Source organism: Homo sapiens, chromosome 1 (genome assembly GCF_000001405.40).
Source record: "Homo sapiens chromosome 1, GRCh38.p14 Primary Assembly".
Classification (NCBI taxonomy): Eukaryota; Metazoa; Chordata; class Mammalia; order Primates; family Hominidae; genus Homo; species Homo sapiens.
Window position 1 is genome coordinate 16,473,263 of NC_000001.11, and position 20,595 is coordinate 16,493,857.

The following is a 20,595-nucleotide window of genomic DNA, read 5'->3' on the forward strand; positions in this document are numbered from 1 at the left end:
TATTTTTTCACGTGTCTTGCCATAGACCTCTTTGGGTTTTATCCTATTTGGGGTCCTCACAGCTTCTTAAGCATATAGGTTTATGTCTCTTGCCAACTCTGGGAAGCTTTTAGCCATTTACTTCTTTATGTTTTCAGGCTTGTCCTCTTCCTCTTCCCCTTCCAGACATAGATGACAACATGAAAGTGAGACCTTTTGAGGTAGTTTCACAGGTGCCTGAGGTTCTATTCACTTTCTCCCCGAGTCTATTTTTTCCCTGCTAAGATTGTGTAATTTCTACTTTTTCATTGGCAGTGGATGGATTTCCTTGCTCTGCACCATCCATTCTGCTGTTGAGCCTATGTGCCAGACTTTTTATTTTGGTGGTTGTATTTTTCCACTTCTAATACTTCATTTGGTTCTCCCTTAAGTCTTGTATTTATTTGCTAAGACTTTCTACTTGTCCATTTATTTCAAGTGTGCTCATAATTACTCGCTAAATCATTTTCATCAGGCTTGCTTGCTTTAAAATGTTTGTCAGACAATCCCAGCGCTTCTCTCATTTTATTGCCAGTGTGTGCTTGCTGCCTATTTTCATTCAGTATGAGATTTTCCTGGTTCTTGGTATGATGAATGATTTTCAATGGAAACTTGGACTTTTGGGTATTATGTTATCAGACTGTCGATTTTATTGAAACCTTCTGTTTTAACTACCTTTTTCTGAGTCTGCTTCTGCAGGGGAGGGGAGTGGTGCCATCTCATTGTAGCCAGGTGTGTGTAGAAATCCAGGTTTCTCATCTGATCCACCTCTGTTGACACCCTGAGTGGAGGGCCTGAGAGGAAAGAGCCTGCTGATCAGGCCCCTCGACTTGAGTGAAGGGCAGGCAGGGAGGGTCCTATGGCTCCTGGGAGGAGCCGAAGGGTGGATCGCCTGTCAAAGCCAAGAGCCCTGATGGCGGGCGCCAGGGAAAAGGCCCTGAGGCGGGGTCACAGCCCTGGAGGGGCAGCGTCCACACTCCTGCACAGTGCAGGGCACCTGGGACTCTCAAAACCCGCCGGCTGCTGCACCTTCTGGGACCGGGAGAGTGTCAGCTGGGTGAATCCCGCACACGGGCGCGGGGGCGCGGCGCGTAGTTGTGGAACCGGATACCCCGCGGGCTGCTGGCTCCAGCGCCTCCACCTGCCACTGGGCCAACCCCCTGGGCCTCCTCCAGCTTCTGCTCCCGCCAGCTCAGCTGCTGGGAGAGCTGGCCCCCACCCAGAGACTCAGCAGAACTCCCAGCATCCCCCAGCTTGTTGATCGTGCAGCACCCCAACTCTGGGCCTAACCCAGTCCTGGCAGAAAGCCTGGGTTCGAGCCCAGGGTCTGCCCTGATGTGCTATATGTGCTTGGGCAAGTCATGACCTTCTCTAGCTCTGCAATGCACGTGTGTACAAAAACCAGGGCCCGGCCGGACACGGTGGTGCACGCCTATAATCCCAGCACTTTGGCAGGTGGATCACTTGAGGTCAAGAGTTCAAGACCAGCCTGGCCAAGGTGGTGAAACCCTGTCTCTACTAAAAATACAAAAATTAGCCGGGCATGGTGGTGCACGCCTGTAGTCCCTGCTACTTGGGACGCTGAGGCAGGCGAACAGCTTAAACCCCGGAGGCGGAGGTTGCAGTGAGCCCAGATCATGCCACTGCACTCCAGCCTGGGCAACAGAGCAAGACTCTGTCTCAAACAAAACAAAACAAAACAAAAACCAACAACAAAAAAGAGGGCCCTCACTCAGCTTTGGGAGTAACAGAACCCTTGTATTACTCTAAGAAGAGAAGCTGAATATATAAAACAGACCCAAGTGCAGCTGCTCAGCAGGCCTCAAGGTGGAGACCTGCACCCTGCTTCTTGCACCCCCTACCCCATCCTCTAGAGGCCCCTCCCAGAAACCCAGGCACTCCAGGATAGACCTTGCATGAAGGTCCCTGGATCCCTGAAAATGAGACATTAAGGTCTCTTCCAGATGTGATGTTCCCAAAAGTCTAAGATTCCAATTCTAAAAAGTCTCGACCTATTATTAATCTGTATCATTATTATTATTATTATTATTATTATTATTATTATTTGAGACAGAGTCTCGTTCTGTTGCCCAGGCTGGAGTGCAGTGGCACGATCTCGGCTCACTGCAACCTCTGCCTCCTGGGTTCAAGCGATTCTCCTGCCTCAGCCTCCTGAGTAGCTGGGACTACAGGCGCGTGCCACCACACCCAGCTAATTTTTTGTAGAGATAGGGTTTCACCGTGTTAGCCAGGATGGTCTTGATCTCCCGACCTCAGGTGATCCACCCGCCTCGGCCTCCCAAAGTGCTGGGATTATAGGCGTGAGCCACTGCACCCAGCTAGCCCCATGCTATAGATGGGGCAACTGAGGTATGGGGAGGTTGGGCAGCTTGTCCAAGGTCCCCAGCTAGCAGAAGTGGGGCTGGATTTAACCAAGAAGCAGGCTCCAGTGCCTGTGACTTAACCCAGGACTGGATGCAGGGGGCTGGGAGCCCAGCCTGCCCCACATGCTCTCCACACCACCCCACACACAGCTTGGCCCACCTGCGCTAGCTGCTCCTGCAGCCGGCTGCACTCATGATGCAGCGTGGGGAGCTGCTGCTCCACTGCCTCCTGGGCCTGCTCCGCCGCTCATAGGGAGCCCTCCAGGCCCTGCCGCGCCACCTCCTGTTCCAACCGCAGCGCCTCCAGCCGCTCCTGCTCTTCCCGTGCCACTGTGGCCTCCTGCTTCGCCTGCCGCTGCCGGCCCTGCAGGGCGCACTTTTCTTCCTCCAGCTGTGGCCTGGGTAGGAGTGGGGCCTCGTGAGCAGGGCATCCCTCCCAGGACCAGGACGCCTCCTCCACCCACCCACCAGCCACAATAGCCCAGGGGAGGCTCCCAGGCAATGAGGGACAGGGCCCTTGGGTGTGTGGGACACTGGGGAGGGAGAGATGAGGAGGGCCCATGGAGCTTCTGTGCTTTGATGCCTAGAGAGGATAGACAGACAGAGACAGACAGAGAACCAGAGACAGAAAGGGAGGCAGGGGCCAAGACAGGTACAGGGCTGGGCCCGGGGTGCCTTACTGAGTGGGGAGGACGGGTGGGCAAGGCAGGTGGGCCCGCAGGTGCACAGCGTACCTGGGTGACAAGGCGGTTCAGATCCAACTTGTCCTGAGCAAGGCTCTCGTTGAGGGCGCTCAGCTTGGACAGGGAGTCCTGCAGGGAGGCCTCCTCTGCCCTCAGCCTGGAGGGCAGGGCCAGAGTTCAGAGGATCCCCTGAGTAAGGTCTAGGGATAGCACTGCTCAGAGCCCAGGCTGCAGCGGACAGCGCAGGCCCCCCCGCCAAGGACCCTCTGCGCTGTGGCCACAACTCTCAGACCCCAGGAGCTGAATCTCAGGATGACCCTGAGCTATAGGCACTGCCCCCAGGAGCATCCAGAACAGCAGGGATACGGCCATAAAGAGAGGTCAGTCCACTTATGGCTGGGACCAGAGGTCCAGAGGTCTGTGGTCTGTGACAAAGATCAGCCTGTATCCAGAAGGAAGGGGTCAGTCTGTGACCAGGCTCAGAGGTCTGCCTGACACTGGGACCAGTTTGTGCCAGAGTGAGAAGGCTTGGGGCTGGGGGTCAGATGTAGGTTTGTGGTTGTGCAGCCAACAGGGACCCACCTTGGTCAGCGCCTCGGCCACCTCGGCCTTCTCGGCCTGCAGCATGTCCCGTTGCAGTGTGGCGCGGCTCAGCGCCTCCCTCACCTCCACCAGCTCCTTGGCCAGGACTGAGCGCTTCCCTTCCAGCTGCTCCAGTTGTCTATGGCTGCAGGACAGAGGGCAGGTGGGTGGCCCATGTCACTTTCCTGCCCCGAATCTCCCACAGCCAGCGAGATGCTTGGCTGTGGACCAGGCCTGAGGCAGGAGTTTGGAGAGAAACAGCCTGAGCCACAGGGCAACCAAGCCCACTACTGCTTAGCTCCATGACCCTGGGCCTCCGTTTCCACATCTGCAAAATGAGGTAACACCTACCTTGTCACATAGTTTCTTTGTTTTCTTTGAGACAGAGTCTCGCTCTGTCGCTCAGGCTGGAGTACAGTGGTGAGATCTCAGCTCACTGCAACCTCCGCCTCCTGGGTTCAAGCCATTCTCCTGCCTCAGTCTCCCGAGTAGCTGGGATTACAGGCATGCACCACCACGCCTGGCTAATTTTTGTAGTTTTAGTACAGACAGGGTTTCCCCATGTTGACCAGGCTGGTCTCGAACTCCTGACCTCAGGCGATTCGCCTGCCTCGGCCTCCCAAAGTGCTGGGATTACAGGCGTGAGCCACCGTGCCCAGCCTGTTTTAAGGCTACAAACTTCACATGTGCTTAAAATAGTGCCTGACACATCTCCCCAAGGACCTTCAGAAACAAGAATAACATGCTCCACCACAGTCTACTAAACATCATCAGCGATCACGTCCCTGAGAGGTAAGCAGCGCAGTGGTGAAGAGGTTAACTCTAAAGGCAGAATGTCTGGGTTCAAATCCTGGCTCTTCTAACTAGCTGTGTGACCTGGGGCAAGTGACATGGCTTCTCTGTGCCTCAGTTTACCGTCCATAAAATGAAGATAACAGCTTCTATGTCACAGTTATCATAGGTTAAATGAGAGAACTGAATTGCTTAAAATGGTATCTGGCACTTAGTGAAATCAGTAAGGATATTATTATGATCATAACTTAATTTAAAAAATACTATCGTTAATATTACTACTGTTATTTTAATTATTCTTGTTATTATCATCCAAGTTCTACCTTTTAACTAGTTCTCTGACCCCAGGTAAGTGAGTACACCTCCCTGAGCCCCAATTTCCTGCAATGGGTCTGGTTAGAAAACCCGACATCAGAGGGGTCCAGATGGTAGGAGGCCCAGGACCCAGTGGGTGCTCCCTAACCCCCGGGGCACTGTCAGGGGACCTGAGGCACATTTGAAGGGCCCTGGCAGGGTGGCGAGATGCTGTTCACCTGTGCTCAAGCTCCCGGCGCACCCGCACACCATCCTGCACTGCGTCCTCCTGCTCTTCCCCCAGCCAGTACCGCTGGCGCCGCAGCTCCTCCTGGGCAGCCTGCAGCTTCTTCCGCTCCTGCCGCAGCTCCTTGGCCTGCTGCTGGGCCACCTGCAGGCTGTGGGCCAGGTTGCTCTTCTCCCTTCAGGACAAGCAGAGGGGATGCTGGGGCTGCTCTCTGCAGGGAAGGTGGCTGGCTGCTCCTCTAGCCATGAGCTATAATCTCCCGTTTTCCAAGGAACCTGCCTCCAGGAAGCCTTCCCTGACCCTGCCCGTAGCTGACTCATTTCACTCACATCCTCCAGCAGAAGAACCTGGCTTTCCTTCTCCCCAACCCATCCACTTGGAGTGGATGGAGGTGCTGGCTTTATCTCCAAGCACCCTACCAGGTAGAAGAGGCCAGGTTAGGCTCCTGGGATACATGGGCAATTGTGCCACCAACCCTGCTAGGCCACGTGACCAGGAAATGTCCCCTATAACAACCCATGCCCCTCAATTCTGGGAAGCCTGATAGAGCTGAGTCTGCAGATCCCATGGCTTCCTGCTACACAGTCACATGGTGGCCACGGCAGGGGAGGGAGGAGAAGGGAACAACTGGGACCCCAAAGACTTGCCGTGAGCTGCCACGTTCCCCACTGGCGGTAGGTGCGAAAAACTTTCCCGATGTGATTTTCTTTTTTTTTTTTTGAGACGGAGTCTTGCTCTGTCACCCAGGCGTGATCTCGGCTTACTGCATGCTCTGCCTCCCAGGTTCATGCCATTCTCCTGCCTCAGCCTCCTGAGTAGCTGGGACTATAGGCGCCTGCCACCACACCCGGCTAATTTTTTGTATTATTAGTAGAGACGGGTTTTCACCATGTTAGCCGGATGGTCTTGATCTCCTGACCTCGTGATCTGCCCGCCTCGGCCTCCCAAAGTGCTGGGATTACAGGTGTGAGCCACCACGTCCAGCAATTTTTTTTTTTTTTTTTTTTTTTAGACAGAGTCTCACTTTGTCACCCAGGCTGGAGTGCAGTGACACAATCTCAGCTTGCTGCAACCTCCACTTCCAGAGTTCAAGCAATTCTCCTGCCTCAGCCTCCTGAGTAGCTGGGATTACAGGCACCTATCACCACGCCCAGCTAATTTTTGCATTTTTAGTTAGAAGTGGGGTTTCACCATATTGGCCAGGCTGGTCTCAAACTCCTGACCTCAAGTGATCTGCCCGCCTCGGTATCCCAAAATACTAATTTTGGGCTAAAATTGGGCTAAAAGGGCACACCCAGCCCTAATTTTTTTATTTTTATTTTTTTATTTTGTACTTTTATTTATTTATTTTTTTGACACTCTTGTTGCCCAGGCTGGAGTGCAATAGTGTGATCTCGGTTCACCGCAAACTCTGCCTCCCATGTTCAAGCGATTCTCCTGCCTCAGCCTCCCAAGTAGCTGGGATTACAAGCATGCACCACCACGGACAGCCAATTTTGTATTTTTAGTAGAGACAGGGTTTCTCCATGTTGGTCAGGCTGGTCTCAAACTCCTGAACTCAGGTGGTCCTCCCGCCTCGGCCTCCCAAAGTGCTGGGATTACAGGCGTGAGCCACTATGCCGGGCCAATTTTTAAAATTTTTAGTACAGATGGGGTTTTGCCATGTTGGCCAGGCTGGGCTCAAACTCTTGACCTCAAGTGATCCACCCGCCTTAGTCTCCCAAAGTGCTGGGATTACAGGCGTGAGCCACTGTGCCCAGTTGACAACGTGCTGTTCAGTAAAACACACTCAGCCTGAATTTTCACTTTTTAAAATTTTTAATTAAATTTTAATAGAGCCAGACACAGTGGCTTATGCCTGTAATCCCAGCAATTTGGGAGGCTGAGGTGGGAGGAGTGTTTGAAGCTAGGAGTTCAAGACCAGCGTGGGCAACATAGTGAGACCCCCATCTCCACATTTCACAGAATGCAAAATGGGATGTTTGCTGTGAACACAACTACTTAAAAAGACCTTCTCCTTTCCAGGCATGGAAAGCCTGGGTTTACTCTCCCATGGACCTGAATTCCAATTCCCACCCTGCCACCCCAGCCACACATGCTGTATGAGTCTGAGCGAGCCTCTCAAGCTTACAACAAAAGAGTTCTGAATTGCATAAGTTTGACAGGAAGACTAAATCACAGAGTATGTATAAAACACTCAGCCAAGAGCCTGGCACACAGTAGGTGTGAAGGAAACGTTTGCTATCTCACTGCCAGGCAACACAGTGGGAAGGAAAACCAGTGCCCTACATGAGTTAGGATGGGCAGATGAGGCTGTGAGAAGGCGAGGTCTTTTTATTTCTATTATTTTTCAAACTTTTCATTAGATGGTTACATTTATGAAGAGAAAAACCAAACAACAAAATATCAAAAACAACCTGGCAGCTAAGTGGATAATTTCTTGTCTTAAAAATCTTCAAGGTGCAAAGAACGGTGGCTCATGCCTGTAATGTAGCACTTTGGGAGGCCGAGGTGGGCGAATCACCTGAGGTCAGGAGTTCGACACCAGCCTAGCCAACATGGTGGAACCCCATCTCTACTAAAAATATAAAAATTAGCCAGGCATGCTGGCAGGCATCTGTAATCCCAGCTACCAGGGAGGCTGAGGCAATTGCTTGAACCTGGGAGGCGGAGGTTGCAGTAAGCCAAGATCGTGTCATGGGCAACAAGACTGCGGAAAAAAAAAAAAAGTGGATAATTTCTTGTCTTAAAAATCTTCAAGGTGCCGGGTGTGATGGCTCACACCTATAATCCCAGTACTTTGGGAAGCCAAGATGGGTGATCATTTGAGCTCAGGAGTTAGAGATCAGCCTGGGTAACATGGCAAAACCCCATCTCTACAAAAAACAGAAAAATTAGGCAGGCGTGGTGGTGTGTGCCTGTAGTCCCAGCTACTCAGGAGGCTGAGGTGGGAGGATCACTTAAGCCTAGGAGGTGGAGGTTGCAGTGAACTGAGATCGCACCACTGTACTCCAGCCTGGGTGACAGAACGAGACCCTGTCTCAAATTAAAAGAAAAAAACAATCTTCAAGGCTAGGCATGGTGGCTTATGCCTGTAATCTCAGCATTTTGGGAGGCCGAGGCAGGGGAATCGCTTGAGGCCAGGAGTTTGAGACCATCCTGAGCAACACAGCAAGACCCCATCTCTGAAAACAAACAAACAAACAAAAAACTCCAAGAAATACGGTCCAGAATAGCGCTGTCAATAGAACTCTCTGAGATGACAGAAACATTCTATGGCCATGTGTGGTTGATGAGTGCTTGAAATGTGCCTAGGGCAACTAAAGAACTGAATTTTCTTTTTCTTTTTTCTTTTTCTTTTTTTTTTTTTTGAGATGGAGTCTCGATCTGTCACCCAGGCAGGAGTACAATGGCGCAATCTTGGCTCACTGCAAGCTTCGCCTCCCAGGTTCACACCATTGTCCCGCCTCAGCCTCCCGAGTAGCTGGAACTACAGGCACCCGCCACCACACCCAGCTAATTTTGTTTTTGTATTTTTAGTAGAGATGGGGTTTCACCGTGTTAGCCAGGATGGTCTCGATCTCCTGACCTCGTGATCCGCCCACCTCGGCCTCCCCAAGTGCTGGGATTACAGGTGTGAGCCACCGCATCTTTTTTGTTTGTTTGTTTTTGAGATGGAGTCTCACTACGTCTCCCAGCCTGGAGTGCAGTGGTGTTATCCTTGCTCATTGCAATCTCTGCCTCCGGGGTTCAAGTGATTCTCCCACCTCAGCCTCCCGAGTAGCTGGCATTACAGGAGCATGCCACCATGCCTGGTTAATTTTTGTATTTTTAGTAGAAACCGGGTTTCACCATGTTGGCCAGCCAGCTGGGTTGTGAGCCACCACACCCAGCCTGAATTTTCACTTTTTCAAATTTTTAATTAAATTTTAATAGCGCCAGGTACAGTGGCTTGTGCCTGTAATCCCAGCAATTTGGGAGGCTGAGGTGGGAAGAGTGTTTGAAGCTAGGAGTTCAAGACCAGCATGGGCAACATAGTGAGACCCCCATCTCTACAAAAAATTTAGAAATGTTGGGGGCTTGTCTAGTATCCTTGGGGCTGAGATCAGAGTTGCCCAGGAACCCAGGGAGGTGAGGGCTCAGAGGGTGATGAGGGCACAGAGGAAGGGAGTGGAAACCTAACTCTCAGGCTTCGGTCCCATATCCTTCCCCAGGCCAGGCCCAGGCCCTGGCCCCCAACTAGGGGCAGTTGGGAAGTAGAGGTGGGAGGACCGCTTGAGTCTGGGAGTTCCACGCTACAGTGAGCTGTGAGGGACCAATTGTGCCCCGGCCTGGGAAACAGAGCAAGAGCGTGACTCAAAACGAAGCAAAACAAAACAAAACAAAACAAAACTGAATACTAAAAAATAAATGTTGGGCGGGTGCGGTGGCTCATGCCTGTAATCCCAGCACTTTGAGAGACGGAAGCGGGTGGATCAGGAGGTCAGGAGTTCAAGATCAGCCTGGCCAAGATGGTGAAACCCCGCCTCTACTAAAAATACAAAAAATTAGCTGGGAGTGGTGGTGGGCACCTGTAATCCCAGCTACTTGGGAGGTTGAGGTGAGAAATGCTTAAAACTCGGAGGCGGAGGATGCAGTGAGCTGAAATCGCGTCACTGTACTCCAGCCTGGGTGACAGAGTGAAACTCCGTCTCAAAAAAAAAAAAAAAAAAAAAATTAGCCGGCCGTGGTGGCGGGCGCCTATAGTCCCAGCTACTACGGAGGCTGAGGCGGGAGAATGGCGTGAACCTGGGAGGCGGAGCTTGCAGTGAGCCCAGATCGCGCCACTGCACTCCACCCTGGGTGACACAGCGAGACTCCATCTTAAAAATAAATAAATAAATAAATAAATACCTAAACGTTAATAGGCACATGCAGCTAGTGGCGACCATATTAGTGCAGAGCCACACGCATAAGGCTCCACTGATGTTATGCCCAGCCGCCGACTTATTCTTCAGCACCCCCAGCTCAGACCTCCCCGGCACCTTCTCAGGAGCTCTTTGGCGCTCCGCAGCCGCTGCACCTCGCGCTGGGCGTCCTCGTGGGCCTGCATGGTGCTGTCGGTCTTGTCCCGCAGGCGCTGCAGCTGTTCCTCTAGGGCCCGCCGCTCACTCTCGCTGTCGCTAAGCTGCTTCCGCAGGGTGCCCAGCAGGTCCTGGCTTGCCTCATAGCGCCCACGCATGTCCTGGGGCGCGGGGATCACAGAGTCTAGCGGGGGTCCTTTGAGGCCTCCAGAGCCCACCTACTCTCTTCTGGTTCCAGGGATACACACTAGCCTACGCTAGGCGGGGTCCAGGGCCTGGACCTGGCCTGGGGCAGGATAGGGGCCTAGGCCTGAGAGCCAGGCTCCCGCTCCCCTCCTATGTGCCCTCACCACCCTCTGAGCCCTCACCTCCCTGGGGTCCCGGACAACTCCTATCAAAGCCCCCCGGATGCCAGACAAACCCCCAGGCACACTCGTCTCCTGGGTTCTGACCCCACCCCCAGGGCTCCCAGGCTCCTCCTCCTTGCATCCTGGTTCCACTCTCAGACTCCTCCCTACCCTGGCTCTGCCCCTAGTTCCCAAGCTCTGATTCCCCTTGCTAGACCTTTTCCCAGGGTCCTGGCTCTGTAGACCAGGGACCTGTCTCCCTCTCTACCAGGACCCTAACACTGCCGCAGCCTCCTCCCTCCACCTGCCCAAGCGCCCACCCCCAGCTGCCCAAGCACCCCTACTTCTGGGCTGGCTTCACCGCAGAGCTCTCGGCCACCTCCTTCGGGATCCTGACACCCTCAGACACTTTCTCAGAGCTCTGGCTGCACCCCAAGGCGCTCGGACTCCTCCCCCGGACCCTGGCCCCGGACCTGCCCCCGCCCCGCCCCTACCCGGAGGGCGCCAGACGCTCCCTCCAGGCCTCTGGCTGAGCCCAGAACGCTCAAGCCCCTTCCTACCTGGACCTGCAGCTCGTGCTTGTGTAAGGTGGAGTGGATCAGGGCGAGCGTGGAGGAGTCTGAGCAGGCCGGGGAGGGGCCTCGGCGGGGTGAACGGCCTCGGCCGGGCGAGGAGCGCCGCGGTGGGGACGGGGTCTGCTGGGCCGAGAGCCCCCGCAGGCTGCCGAAGGAGTCATCCGCGGTGCGCTCGGAGCCGCTCAGCTGGACGCCGCTCTGTGTCCGACAGGACGGACTGAGGGTAGGGGAGGCAGGCAGAAGAAGGCCTCAGAGTTAGGAACCGCAGTGTTAGCTGGCAAAGACGCCCAGGTGAGGCTGGGGGCCGCCTCATCCCAAATGCTCCCTCTTACAAGAATCCTTCCTGATTTCACCTCCTCCGCTAGCTCAGTCCTCAGCTCACAGGTGGCCTCCAAAAGGGCCGTGCCTCCCCTCTGAGACTGGGGGCTCCCCAGGGCCGGGGGTGCTGAGCAGCTACAGCCTGGGTCCCAGGCCCCCACCCATTTGCAGTTCAGTCCCAGGCCACCAAAAGTCGTGGCGGGGGAGCCCAGGACTGCCTGGCAGTGCCCTGTCTTCCCACCTCTTTGGGCTCACACCTGTGCCAGGTCCCTTAGGCTCTGCTGTAGCCCCTCTCCGTCCTCTGTCTCCAGGGCCACCTGCTCCTGTAGCCGCAGGGATTCCTGGAGTGTAGTTAGGGAGACAAAGGGTGGTCCTGGTTCTGTCTTATCTGAAACCTCCCATTCCCCTCCCTTCCTGGTCCACCACTGACCAGGTGGCCTCTGAAGCTATGTCCATAGGCCAGACATCTGGTAGACCCCACAGCAGGCCCGAGGCCCTCAATGAACAGACCAGGCGCAGAGAACAGCTGTGTCCTGCCCCAGGTCACACAGTCGATTGGAGGAGAGCCGGACCTAGAACCCAGGCCAGGCCCCACACAGAGGGGTGACCAAACCAGGCTGTACCCTGGGGGAGTGAGTGTCCCACTAGTGGGGATGGGCAGCTGGGATTCCAGAGGCAGCATCTGGACCTGGAGAGCACGGATGGGAGTTCAAGTCCCGACTCTCCAGCTTACTGGCTCTGAGACTGGACAAGCATTTCCCCTCTTGGGCCTCAGTTTCCCCATCTGTGTCATGAGGATTATGCTACAGGGCTGCTGGGAGGAAGAAATGGGATGGAGGAGGTGAATGTTCTTACCACAAAGCCTGCACACCTGTGAGGGCTGAACCTGAGTGTGAGTGGGATGCTGGGGGTGGTCCAGGCAGCCCAGCCCTAAGCCTGCGTCCATGGATCTGGCCGGTACCCCATCCCACCCTGCCCCATCTCAGGGGCAGCTGCAGCTCACCAGGGCCTCAAGCTTCTCAGTGAGGTCCGTGTTGACCTGATCCTTCTCCGGATTCTGCTTCTGAAGACGCTTCACTGCCAGGCCCAGCTCTGTCACTCTGGAGTTGGGGGAGCAACAGAGGTGAATACGGGACCACCCCAGCCTCTCAAATCCACTAGCTCTGTGTCCACCATGCTTCTCCAAACCCGAGGGAGGGACCCTAACATCCACCTCCCTGGCTGTGTGACCTTAAACAAGTTGTGGCTCCTCTCCAGACCTCACACTTCTCATCTGTGAAATGGGAATGAGGTTCCCACCAGCTTTATCTCATGGGAAAACACTGGAGGACTTGTCCAGGTAGCAGGAGTAAGGGGCACAAGTTGTTTTTTTGTGGTTTTCTTTTGAGACAGAGTTTCGCTGTGTCATCCAGGCCGGAATACAGCGATGTGATCTTGGCTCACTGCAACCTCCACATCCTGGGTTCAAGCGATTCTCCTGTCTCAGCCTCCCTCGTAGCTGGGATTAGAGGCACACACCACCACACCCGGCTAAGTTTTGTATTTTTAGTAGAGACAGGGTTTCGCCTGTTAGGCAGGCTGGTCTTGAGCTCCTGACCTCAGGTAATGCCCCACCTTGGCCTCCCAAAGTGCTGGGATTACAGGTGTGATCCCGGCCACAAGTTCTGTCATAAGAGGCTAAGCTGTTTATGATATACACTGGGCAAGTGCCTCAGAAACTCAGTTGGGTGCCTGGGAAGACTGGCTGAGCTCACAGAGGAAGGCCCTGCTCCTAGTGAACAGATGCTCCCTTCTCCCCAACTCTCCAGTTTTACCTTCTGCAAGGACGCCTGCCCCATGTGGCACCCACCAGGGACCCACCTGGCACTGAGGTCAGCCTTGTCCAGGTCACTTTGCATCTGCTGCTGGGCCAGGTCCTTCTAGTGGAGCACCTTGTCCCGCAGCTGCTCCTCCAGCTGGGCCTGCAGCAGGGCCTGCTTCTCCAGGGCTGCCTTGGCCCGGCTCTCTGCCAGCCACAGGCCCGTGCTCAGTCCCAGGCCCGCCTCCTGGACAGCTCGTGATGTCCGGGCCAGCTCCCCTCCCAGCTGCAGCAGGTCCTTTGGGAGAGAGCACAGGATGGGGATGGGATGGGGCTCGCTCCCAACTACAAATTAAAACTACGCTGAGGCCAGGCGTGGTGGCTCACACCTATAATCCCAGCATTTTGGGAGGCCGAGGCGGGCAGATCACCTGAGGTCAGGCATTTGAGACCAGCCTGGGCAACATGGTGAAACCCCGTCTCTACTAAAAATACAAAAAATTAGCCAGGCGTGGTGGCGCACTCCTGTAGTCCCAGCTACTTGGGTGGCTGAGGTGGGAGGATCACTTGAGCCTGGGAGTTCAAGCCTAAGTGAGTTGTGATTGTGCCACTGCACTCCAGCCTGGGCAACAGAGAGAGACTGTCTCAAAAAAAAAAGAAAGAAAAAGTATTTTAAGTCCATAATACAGGTTAAATCCTTTCCTTTCCTGAATGAACTGTACCACTGGTTATCCAATAGTAAGGAGGGAAAGTGCCTCATTCCAGAATTCTAATTAATATACACAGGAGTGACTAAATGAGAAGCTCACAGTTTTGCAGCCTCTGATGAGTGGGTTGGATCTTGAAAAGAAAGACAGCTGGCATAGGGGCATCCTGCTGGAAGAACACATTCTACTTATGGAGTCTTGATCAAACAAAAAAGCAAGCAGAAGAACCTGAATCTGACCTAGCTTTAGATCCAACATCCAATTTACAGGAAATACATGGGATAAAGAAACATGTTAATTGACACCATAAGGATGCAACCAGCAAAATCCAGACCATGAGAATCTCCAAGGACAATTGGCCCAGTTTCCTGAACAAATAAGTTAAAAGGGACTTCAAAGACAAAGCATGGGCCGGCCACAGTGGCTCACTCTTGTAATCCCAGCACTTTGGGAGACCAAGGTAGGTGGATCACCTGAGGTCAAGACCAGCCTGGCCAACATGGTGAAGCCCCCATCTCTACTAAAAACACAAAAGTTAGCTGGGCGTGGTGTCGCACTCCTGTAATCCCAGCTACTCAGAAGGCTGAAGCCATAGAATTGCTGAACCCAGGAGGGAGAGGTTGTAGTGAGCCAAGATCCTGCCACTGCACTGCAGCCTGGGCAACAAAGCGAGACTCCATCTTGGAAAAAAAAAAAAAAGAGACAAAGCAACCATTTATATTTTGTGAATGTCTATGGATCCAGATTCAAACAAATTGTAAAGAAAAAACTAAAGCAAGACTATCTGTGACTTTTGTTTTTGAGACAGAGTTTCACTCCGTCACCCAGGCTGGAGTGCAGTGGTGTGATGTCGACTCACTGAAACCTCCACCTCCTGGGTTCAAGCGAGTCTGGTGCCTCAGCCTCCCCAGTAGCTGGGATTACAGGCATGTGTCACCACACCTGGATAATTTTTGTATTTTTAGTAGAGATGGGGGTTTCACCATGTTGGCCAGGCTGGTCTCGAACTCCTGACCTCAGATGATCCACCTGCCTCGGCCTCCCGAAGTACTGGGATTATAGGTGTGAGCACCTGGCCTATCTGTGACATTTATGAGACATATGGAAAATTTAGACACTGGCTATTCGATGATATTAAGAAAAGATTATTAAACCAGTTGTGGTTGCTGTAATCCCACACTTTGCCTGTAATCCCAGCACTTTGGGAGGTCAAGGCAGGGGGATCACTTGGGCTCAGGAGTTCAAGACCAGCCTGGGCAACAAAGTGAGACCTCGACTCTACAAGAAATAAAAAAATCAGCAAGCCTGGTGGCATGCACCTGTGGTCCCAATTGCACAGGATGTGAGGTAGGAGGATTGCTTCAGACCAGGAGGCCGAGGCTGTAGTGAGCCATAAAGAAAAGAAAAGATTACTAACTAAAATGTTCTCAACGCACTAAATGAAATACCTTGGCCTCCTGCCTTGGGGCTCTCTCCGCAGCCTCCCCGACACTACTGTTGAGCTGACTGCTCACACCAATCAGACACCCCTGCTCAAAGATCAGGCAGGCCCAAGCTCCCCCGCTGAGGCAGGCTCTCCTTTCCCTGTACCAGCTCTTCCTTGCAACCCCCTGGCTGTCATGGGCTCCCACCTCCATGCCTTTGCTCATGCCTTGCTCCTGCTTGGAGCGCCTGCTGCTCTGCTTCAACCCTACCCATCCCTTGATGCTCTGAGCAAATTCCATCTCCACAAATTGGTTTTTCTGACCTCCCCACCCCTCCCATCCTTCTGAGCCTCCAGGACATTCCTTCTGTCCCACGTACATATCACTGACCACTCGCTTCCTCAGTCTAGAATTTTGGGGATCTACATCTTTTCATCACAAGAGGCTGTGAGGTCCTTGGTAGCAAAGCTGAATATTCTAGCGGATTAAAATCAGGAACTTCAGCCTGGCATGGTGGCTCAGCTATAATCCCATGGTGGCCTATAATCCCAGCACTTTGGGAGGCTAAGGCTCCGCCTGAGCTCAGGAGTTCGAGACCAGCCTGGGCAACATGGTGAAACCCCGTCTCTACTAAACTACAAAAAAAGTTAGCCAGTCGTGGCGGCATGTGCCTGTTATCCCAGCAACTTGGGAGGCTGAGGCAGGAGAATTGATTGAACCAAGGAGGTGGAGGTTGCAGTGATCCAAGATCGTGCCACTGCACTCCAGTCTGGTGACAGAGTGAGACTCCATCTCAAAATAAATAAATAAATAAATAAATAAATAAATCAGGAACTTCAAACTCTGACTCAGCCACTTATGTACTACTGTGCCACCTCAGGAAGATCACTCAACCTCTCTGTACCTCAATGTCCTCATCTATAAAATGGGAATGAACACAGTTCCTACCTCACAGGGAAGCTATGAATATTAGTTGAAATGAAATATACAAAGAGCCTAGCCCAGAGTAAACATCTAATAAATGCTGACTGCCACGACTGTGGTAATGGTTATTACAAGTTGCCTCTGTGTCCTCACAGGCCCTTGTGCACAGCAGGTGCATTGAGTTGAACTGAAATTCAACTGAGTTGAGTTGGATGTAAAGAGCAGGGCTGGCTCTCAGCTGCTGCCCATCCCTGGCCAGGCCTCACCTCTCGGTGAACATCTTCACCTCGCTGACCAGCCGCCGGAACCCCACCACCTGCCTCCATAGCAGGAGCAGGTGATTGTGCTTCTTGCTGAAGTAGGCATTGAAAGACTGGAGGGAAGACATGCCGAGGGAAGGGTTGGGGTGAGAGCGGGTTTACTCCCTCCCACTGCTTCCCTCATCTCCGACCATCCTGGGAGGCACCGTCGTTCAGGGATTGGGTCTTCCTGTGGGTCTGTGCACAGAGCTGTGTCGCAGCAGCCACGCTCAGCCTCCCAAGCCTCATGGCTCCCTCCTGCACAGGGACCTGGGTTTCAAGTCCCCTTTTGGCTGCAAGAGGCAGCAAGGAAGGGCAAAAATGCAAGTGACCTAGCTTTGCATCCCAGCTGCCAGTTGCATGACTGTGGGCAGGTTACTTAATCTCTCTTTATTTATTTATTTTGAGACAGAGTCTTGCTCTGTTGCCCAGGATGGAGTGCAGTGGCATGATCTCTCAGCCTCCCAAATAGCTAGGATGACAGGCGTGCACCATCACGCCCAGCTAATTTTTGTATTTTTAGTAGAGACGGGGTTTCACCATGTTGGCCAGACTGGTCTCGAACTCCTGACCTCAAGTGATCCGCCTGCCTCAGCCTCCCAAAGTGCTGGGATTACAGGCGTGAGCCACTGCGACCGGCCTTAACCTGTCTTTAAAATCAGGAGGATGATAGCACCTACCACATGCAGTTATCACCAGGAATAAAGGTCAACGCACACCGTGCACGTGGTACATGCTACGCATTGATAAAGACCAGCTATTGTGATGATGGCTATTTACTTCTGCTAACAGGCTCCCTTGGACAGTGCTCCCTCTCCCTCTCCAGGCTTCTGAGTCCTCCCTCCTCTGCAGTGCCCCTCCCCTTGGGTCAGGCTGGCCTCCCTGCACCCCCATGCCCACCTCCTCCTCGCGCCTCCATGCCGCCTCCCGCTGCTCCAGCTCCTTGCGGCTGCGTGTCCAGTCATTGGTCACCTTTTGTATGTCCTCACTCAGAGCCTGGTTGGCCGAGCCTGCCTGGTCCAGATGTTCTCGGAGCATGGCTTTCACCTGGGCCAGGCTGGCACTCCTGAATAGGGCAAAGGGGATCAGTAGGCGCTTGCCCAGGGGGCCATGCTGCCAGCCCTGGCCCTCCCTGTTGTGCCCCCACCTCTGCGGCTCCTCCTCCAGCCGGATGAGGGCACTCTGCAGGTCTTGGCTGTGCTCTGTGTCCTGGGTGGGAGAGAGGTTAAAGCATCAGGCAGGGCAGGTGGAGGGCAGGGGCAGGCCTGCCCCTGCCCCACCCTGGCACCCACCCTTAGCCGCTGCTGCTCCAGCTCTCCGGATCTCTCCAGCAGCTGCTGCTCCAGCTCCGAGTACCTCTTCTTGTACTGGAGAATGTGGGGATGGGGAGCTGATGGTGACCCCCATGGGTGGGGGCAGGGCAAAATGAACATGTGGGAGGGCAGGAGCAGGAGTGGGTGGCCCTGACCTTGCCCTGCAGCCGCTGCACACAAGCTGGGCCTGCCGCTGCTGGCCCTCCAGGTAGGCCTGCAGCTTGCGCTGGTAGGAGGCCTGCTCCTCCTGTAGCTGCCTCTGCAACTCCAGGCTCTGGGGTGGGGGCTGAGGAGGGAGGGGATGGAAAAGGACAGGAGAGGAGGGAAGCAGAGGTGGGGAGCCAAAGGAAGAGGAAGGATGAAGAGAGGGGAGGAGAAGGGAGAGAAAGGGAGGGAGGAGAGAGAAGAGGGAATGGGGGGAGGAAAGGAGGGGAGGCAGCTGGAGGTCAGGACCTCACACACTCTTCACCCTCCGCAGGTTGTTGGGTCCTAGAGCCCTCCAAGCCCAGGGGGTGGGGTCAGTAGCCACGTAGTGCGAAAGGCCAGAGTCCTAAGTATTTGGGATCATCTTTGCTGGCCCAGAACGGGGGTCACAAGGTTAGCTAAGAATGAGAGGATTTACGTTTTCCCACAACAGGTGTAGGGCAAAGAATGCAGGCTGTGAGATCAGCCAGGCCAGGCTTGGCACTTAGTTGGGCATGAGCGGTCCAGCCTGGACTGATGAGCATTTATGCAACACCTGCAGCATTCCTAGGTCTGACCTAGACAGAGTGGTAGAGCCTCGAACTACAAATGCCCTAGCCTTGCCCTTCAGGCACTTATTGGGAAGCTTCTGGCCCCTTCACACCCACCCCAGCCCCTACTAGCTGGGTGCACCAGGGACAGTGACTCTGCCTCTCTCTGAGACTCAGTGTCCTCTTACGTAAGATGTGAATAATATTGGTACTCACCTCACAGAGCTGTCCGGGGATGAAACAGAATATCGTGTGTGCATAACCAGCACATGACACGGTGCCGGGGGGACACACGGTCAACACTCAAGAAATACTCATTTCCTTCATTTGAAAATGCAAAAGGCACAGTCCTGCCAGGCATGGGCACTCACACCTGTAATCTCAGCATTTTGGGAGGCCAAGGCAGGCGGATCACCTGAGGTCAGGAGTTCGAGACCAGCCTGATCAATATGGCGAAACCCCATCTCCACCAAAAATACAAAAATTAGCCGGGTGTGGTGGCACATGCCTGTAATCCCAGCTACTTGGGAGGCTGAGGCAGGAGAATCAATTGAACCTGGGAGGCGGAGGTTGCAGTGAGCTGAGATCATGCCATTGCACTCCAGCCTGGGCAACAAGAGCGAAACTTTGTCTCAAAAAAAAAAAAAAAAAAAAGGCACAGTCCCTATATCCCAGGGCCCTGAGACCCAGAGGTCACCCACAACCTCCCATTGTTCTTTCCCTGGGGCAAGGAGGCTATGTGCTCTAGTGCTTAGGCGCACAGCTCTGGAGTCAGTATCAGGTCTGAGGTTGCATCTGAGACCCAGCTCTGTCACTTGCAACTATGGTCTTCAAGACAGTTCATGACCTTGAACAGGTTACCTCCCTGAGCCTCAGTTTTCTCATCTCTAAAAGGAGACTAGACCAGGCCAGGCGCAGTGGCTCAAGCCTGTAATTCCAGCACTTTGGGAGGCTGAGGCGGGCAGATCACTTGAGGTCAGGAGTTCGAGACCAGCCTGGCCAACATAGTGAAACTCCATCTCTACTAAAAATACAAAAATTAGTCTGTAATCCCAGCACTTTGGGAGGCCAAAGTGGGCAGATCACGAGGTCAAGAGATTGAGACCATCCTGGCCAACATGGTGAAACCCCGTCTCTACTAAAAATACAAAAATTAGCTGGGCATGTTGGTGCATGCCTGTAGTCCCAGCTACTTGTGAGGCTGAGTCAGGAGAATCGCTTGAACCTTGAAGCTGACTGTGGCATTAAAGACATCAGTTAGCTTGTCTGTTGTTCCCAGAATACCAGCCCAGTAGTGGGAGGGCCTACCTTGTTCACCTCCCTATCACTCGCATTTTGAGTGTCACCAACCCATGCCCACAGTTCCCTGGAAGATCGCTATGGTTACCGAGCAGAGGCACGGAGGAAGCCCCAAGAGGCCACACTGCAATGAGCGGAGATCACACCACTGCACTCCAGCCTGGCAACAGAGTAAGACTCTGTCTCAAAAAATAAATAAATAAATAAATAAATAAATAAATAAATAAATAAATAAATTAGCTGGGGCGTGGTGGCATGTGCATATAATCCCAGCTACTCAGGAGGCTGAGGCAGGGGAATCACTTGAACCCAGGAGGAGGAGGTTGCAGTGAGCCAAGATTGTGCCACAGTACTCCAGCCTGGGTTACAGAGCAAGACTCTGTCTCAAAAAAATAAAATAAAATAAAATAAAATGATACTAGACTGGGTGTGGTGGTTCAGGTCTGTAACCCCAGCACTTTGGGAGGCCAAAATGGGAGAATCGCTTGAGCCCAGGAGTTTGAGACCAGCCTGGGCAACATAGCGAGACTCTGTCCTACCAAAAACAACAAAAAAATGCGACTGATAGTACCTACCACACCTGGCAGGTGGTGAGCTATTAGCCAATGGTGGCTGCTGTTCCTATTGTCATTAGCATCACGTGTCTGGCCTCCTGCCCTTAGAGTTGTAAGCCCTGAAAAAGGACAGGAATTGCTCACTCGAGGAGCTCGGCTTTTAAGACACAAGTCTCCTGAAGTTCCCGGCCGAATAAAGCTCCTTCCTTCTTTAACCTGGTGACTGAGGAGTTTTGCCTG

The 20,595-nt window shown here is 53.5% G+C and overlaps 1 pseudogene across 1 annotated transcript in view, besides 2 other annotated features; it reads right to left on the reverse strand.

The window, feature by feature from the left end:
- CROCCP3 (CROCC pseudogene 3) overlaps positions 1 to 19,439 on the reverse strand; it is a 25,266-nt pseudogene extending 5,827 nt beyond the window's left edge. The window contains exons 1-14 of the transcript NR_023386.1: positions 18,719 to 19,439; positions 17,924 to 18,054; positions 17,748 to 17,822; positions 17,603 to 17,664; positions 17,356 to 17,521; positions 13,164 to 13,399; positions 12,307 to 12,403; positions 11,561 to 11,644; positions 10,971 to 11,202; positions 10,025 to 10,224; positions 4,993 to 5,175; positions 3,668 to 3,812; positions 3,137 to 3,242; positions 2,563 to 2,800 (exon numbers count right to left, since the gene is read on the reverse strand). The product of NR_023386.1 is annotated as a CROCC pseudogene 3 (transcript). The remainder of the gene's footprint in view (positions 1 to 2,562; positions 2,801 to 3,136; positions 3,243 to 3,667; positions 3,813 to 4,992; positions 5,176 to 10,024; positions 10,225 to 10,970; positions 11,203 to 11,560; positions 11,645 to 12,306; positions 12,404 to 13,163; positions 13,400 to 17,355; positions 17,522 to 17,602; positions 17,665 to 17,747; positions 17,823 to 17,923; positions 18,055 to 18,718) is intronic.
- Positions 17,164 to 17,808: an enhancer, noted in NCBI's record as "H3K4me1 hESC enhancer chr1:16816921-16817565 (GRCh37/hg19 assembly coordinates)". NCBI's record gives its function as "activates a minimal SCP1, AML or CMV promoter by ChIP-STARR-seq in naive H9 embryonic stem cells {active_cell/tissue: H9 hESC(naive)}" and the evidence as "EXISTENCE:reporter gene assay evidence [ECO:0000049][PMID:30033119]".
- Positions 17,809 to 18,452: an enhancer, noted in NCBI's record as "H3K4me1 hESC enhancer chr1:16817566-16818209 (GRCh37/hg19 assembly coordinates)". NCBI's record gives its function as "activates a minimal SCP1, AML or CMV promoter by ChIP-STARR-seq in naive H9 embryonic stem cells {active_cell/tissue: H9 hESC(naive)}" and the evidence as "EXISTENCE:reporter gene assay evidence [ECO:0000049][PMID:30033119]".
- Positions 19,440 to 20,595: the final 1,156 nt, after the last annotated feature.